The sequence below is a fragment of the Homo sapiens genome, chromosome X, assembly GCF_000001405.40.
Source record: "Homo sapiens chromosome X, GRCh38.p14 Primary Assembly".
NCBI lineage: Eukaryota > Metazoa > Chordata > Mammalia > Primates > Hominidae > Homo > Homo sapiens.
Window position 1 is genome coordinate 121,196,959 of NC_000023.11, and position 5,069 is coordinate 121,202,027.

General features: G+C 35.8%; 1 annotated feature.

Annotated features, from left to right (window-relative positions):
* Positions 241 to 1,440: an enhancer, noted in NCBI's record as "CDK7 strongly-dependent group 2 enhancer chrX:120331053-120332252 (GRCh37/hg19 assembly coordinates)". NCBI's record gives its function as "activates an origin of replication core promoter dependent on BRD2, BRD4, P300/CBP, MED14 and CDK7 cofactors, with strong dependence on CDK7, by STARR-seq in HCT116 cells {active_cell/tissue: HCT116}" and the evidence as "EXISTENCE:reporter gene assay evidence [ECO:0000049][PMID:35650434]".

Below are 5,069 nucleotides of genomic sequence, written 5' to 3' on the forward strand. Positions count from 1 at the left end.
TAACATAAAAAGCAGCCTGGGAAAATAATTCAAGCTGCAGGCACCGATAAGGGAACTAGGACAGGGTGTTGTGCCTGAAGACATGCCCATGGCTGCACAGATAGAACAACCTCCTGCCCGTTTGGATAAAACTTACACAGAACCTCCAGCTCACTCAGATAAGGGAACAAGGCCTGGCATCCAAATGCCAGGACAAAGGTCCTTTGTATAGTCAGCAGGTTCCCAGGAAAAGTTTCTTCTCCTTTTGTGGGCATGGGCACGGTGGGCTCTGGTGGGTTTAGGTGGGCACTCTACTTTCCTTTATTAGAACTATAAGTCCAGGCTGGGCGCGGTGGCTCACGCCTGTAATCCCAGCCCTGTGGGAGGCTGAGCTGGGCAGATCACGAGGTCAGGAGTTCGAGACCAGCCTGGCCAATATGGTGAAACTCCGTCTCTACTAAAAAATATACAAAAATTAGCTGGGTGTGGTGGCGCGTGCCTGTAGTCCCAGCTGCTCAGGAGGCTGAGGCAGGAGAATCACTTGAACCCAGTAGGCAGAGGTTGCAGTGAGCCAAGATTGCGCCACTGCACTCCAGCCTGGGCAGCAGAGTGAGACACCGTTTCAAAACAAAACAAAAACAGAAACAAAAACCGAAAGAAACTGTAAGTCCAGCTTCTATGAATCATCACCTCAGCTCCGGATTGGTTCCAGGCCAAGGTCCCGGGCCAAACTTTCACGTCAGCTTGTGATAGGCCCTGGGGCAAGCTAAGCAGCATCTGTGAATCATCATTTCGGCTTCTGATTGGTCCCCTGCCAAAGTCCCGGGCCAGGCTGAGTCACGGGTTCGCCAAGACAGCCCACAGACTAAGCACATTTCTTCTCTTTTCCGGTCCATAAAATCCCCAGAATGGGCCCCACAGTGAGTATTCCTGTTCAGGACTCTCCTCTCTACTGACAGAGAGCTTTCTTCTTTCACTTATTAAGCTTTCGCTCTAAGCTCACTTTTGTGTCCGCGCTCCTTAATCGTCTTGGAGGTAGGACAAAGAGGCGTTATCTCAGACAGACAATGACGGACTATTTCAATATGGCTTATCTATATATCTGAAAGACAAGAATAAATGCAATAGAAGCAATAATAGAAGAAAACATCTATAAAATTAAGAAACAGCTGAATCTGCAGATCAAAAGGTATCAGTGAAACTAGTAAGATATGACTGATATCTATATAATCCTGATGAATGTTCTGAATTTCAAGGATAAAGAAAAAACTTCTATAAGTATCTAGTCAAAGAAAGAGACAACAAAAACCAAAAACTGGGTACCTCTAAAGAAAAAAATGGGATATCCTTAGAATTTTCCATAGTGTTAAATGTCAGAAGACAAATAGTGGAACATTTACATTTTTGATGGGAAAATGTTTTGACCAAGGAGTTCTCTACCCTGACAGTGCAACATAAAGATATTTTCAGAAACGCAAGAGCTCAGAGAATATACCCTCTATAGAACCCTTGGGAAATGAGGTGGGGAGATGCAAAATAAATTCTCAAAGCATCTTGTAAACAATAAAAAGTAAAGACCTTAAGAATATAGACTATGTTATAAAAAGAATTATGTGTGCATTGAATCTATTTGAATGTAGAATTAGTCTAAATAGTATAGATAAGGTTACAAAACAGAATGGATATATTAATTCTTGAAAGGGTAGACAACATAATTTTAAATATACAAAAACCGGACTAAAATCTCATACTATGCCACCATTACCTGGGAGATAGAGGGGTGGGGTAGGAAAGTAGAGGAGGTATGAGAGAGAGAGTTTCAAGGAGAAATATAAATTCATTTATTTTAAATTTTGGGGTAACCTCTTACAGAATTAAAACTAGAAAGTATACTTTACAAATGACTCCAGCAAAAAAAAAAACACATTAAAAATTAGGAAGAAAGCATAATGCAAATAGAACAATTAAAGAAAGACCAATAAATGCCAGTAAACGTGTGTGGGTTAAACATTCCTATTATAAGACAAAGATTCTCAGATTGAATTAGAAAACAAGGTTCAACTGTAGTTTCTGTGGTTTATAAAAGACATATCTAAAAGTGACTGTTAAAGGTGAAAAGCAGAAAGACTATATATACACAAACTGTATATATAAACTATGTATACTGAGTACATATACATGCGTGAATATATACTGAGTACATATACATGCGTGAATATATACTGAGTACATATACATGCGTGAATATATACTGAGTACATATACATGCGTGAATATATACTGAGTACATATACATGCGTGAATATATACTGAGTACATATACATGCGTGAATATATACTGAGTACATATACATGCGTGAATATATACTGAGTACATATACATGCGTGAATATATAGTGAGTACATATACATGCGTGAATATATAGTGAGTACATATACATGCGTGAATATATAGTGAGTACATATACATGCGTGTATATAGTGAGTACATATACATGCGTGAATATATACTGAGTACATATACATGCGTGAATATATACTGAGTACATATACATGCGTGAATATATACTGAGTATATATACATGCGTGAATATATACTGAGTATATACATGCGTGAATATATACTGAGTATATATACATGCTTGAATATATACTGAGTATGTATACATGCATGAATATATACTGAGTATATATGTATGAATATATACTGAGTATATATACATGTATGAATATACTGTATTTACTTAGTTTATATATATATACATGTAGAGAGATGGAGAGATAGGTAAATATATCTAAATATATCAGCAATTTGAAGCAGAAAAAAAGCATAATATTCTAGACAAAGTGGAATCCAAGGCAACCACATTAATAAGATAAGGCTTTTCATTTATTACTGATTAACTATGGCCATCCAATCAGGTAGTCACTAGCTGCATATGACTATTTGAAATTATTTTATTTTATATTTTAATTTCAACAACTTTAGAGGTATAAGTGGTGTTTGGTTACACAGATGAATTGTACAGTGGTGAAGAATGGGATTTTAATGTACCCATCAATTCAGTTCTGTACATTGTACCCAATAAGTAGTTTTTTGTCCTTCCTCCACCTCCTACATTTCCCCTTCTGAGTCTCCAATGTGCATTAATACCAGTCTGTATGCCTTTGCATATCTGTAGCTTAGGTCCCACTTATAAGTAAGAACATGTGGTATTTGGTTTTCGATTATTGAGTTACTTCACTTAGAATCATGGCCTCCAGTTCCATCCAAGTTGCTGTAAAAGACATTATTTCATTCTTTATCATGAGTGACTAGTATTCCATGGTGTATATGTGTATGTGTGTACATATATATATATATATATATATATATATATATATATATATATGCACCACATTTTCTTTATCCACTAATTGGTTGATGGGCACTGAGGTTGACTACATATCTTTGCAATTGTGAATTGTGCTGTAATAAATATACATGTATAAGAGTTTTTTTTGATATAGTGACTTCTTTTCCTTTGGGAAAAGATTGAATGGTAGATCTACTTTTAATTCTTTGAGAAATCTCCATACTGTTTTCCATAGAGGTTGTACAAATATACATTCCCACCAGCAGTGTATAAGCATTCCCTTTTCATTATGTCCATGACAACATCCATTGCTCTTTGACCTTTTAATAATGGCCATTCTGGCTTGCGTAAGGTGATATCTTATTGTGGTTTTAATTTGCATTTCCCTGATTATTAGAGGTGTTGGGTGATTTTTATATGTTTCTTGGCCCTTTGTATATCTTCTTTTGAAAAACTGTCTATTCATGTTATTTGCCCACTTTTTGATGGGATTATTTGTGGGTTTTTTGCTGATTTACTTGAGTTCCTTGTAGATTCTGGACATTAGTTCTTTGTCAGATGTATAATTTCCAAATATTTTCTCCCATGCTGTGAGTTGTACGTTTACTTTGATGATTATTTCTTTTGCTGTGTGGAAGCTTTTTAATTTAATTAGTTTCCATTTATTTATTTCTGTTTTTGTTGCATTTGCTTTTGGGGTCTTAATCATAAATTCTTTGCCTATGCCAATGTCCAGAAGGGTTTTTTCCCTAAGTTTTCCTCAGAATATTTGTGATTTCGGGCCTTAGATTTAAGTCTTTAATCCATCGGCATTAAATTTTTGTATAAGATGAGATAGGGATCCAGTTTTATTCTTCTACGTGTGGCTCTTCAATTTTCCTAGCACCATTTATTGAATATGGTGTTCTTTTCCCAGTTTATGTTTTTGTATGCTTTGTCAAAGATCAGTTGGTTGTAAATGTACGAATTTATTCCTGGGCTCTCTGTTATGTTCCATTAGTCTGTGTATCTACTTTTGTACCAGTACTATGCTGTTTTGGTTACTATAGCCTTGTAGTATTATATGATTTGAAGTTGAGGAAGATAATGCCTCCAGATTTGTTCATTTTGATTACGATTGCTTTGGATATTTGGGGTCTTTTTTAGTTCCATTATGAATCTTAGGACTGTTTTTTCTAGTTCTGTGAAAAATGAAGTTGGTATTTTGATAGGAATTGCATTGAATCTGTAGATTGCTTTGACAGTATGGTCATTTTTACAATATCCATTCTTCCAATCCATAAGCATGGGATCTATTTCCATTTGTGTCATCTGTGATTTCTTTCTGCAATGTTTTTTAGTTCTCCTTGTAGAGATCTTTTACCTCCTTGCTTAAATATATTCCTAGTTATTATATTTTTTGTAGCTACTGTAAATGGGATTGAGTTCTTGATTTGATTCTCAGTTTGGTCACTGTTGTTGTATAGCAGTGCTACTGATTTGTGCACATTGATTTTGTACTATACTGAATTGAGACTTTACTTACTTCACTTATCATACCTAGGAGTCTTTTGGGGGAGCCTTTAGGGTTTTCTAGGTATATGATAATATCATGGGCAAACAGCAATAGTTTGGCTTCCTCTTTTCCTATTTGAATGCCCTTTGTTTCTTTCTCTTGCCTGATTGCTCTATGACTTCCTGTACTATGTTGAATAGAAGTGGTTAAAGTGGACGTCCTTGTCTTGTTCTAGTTCT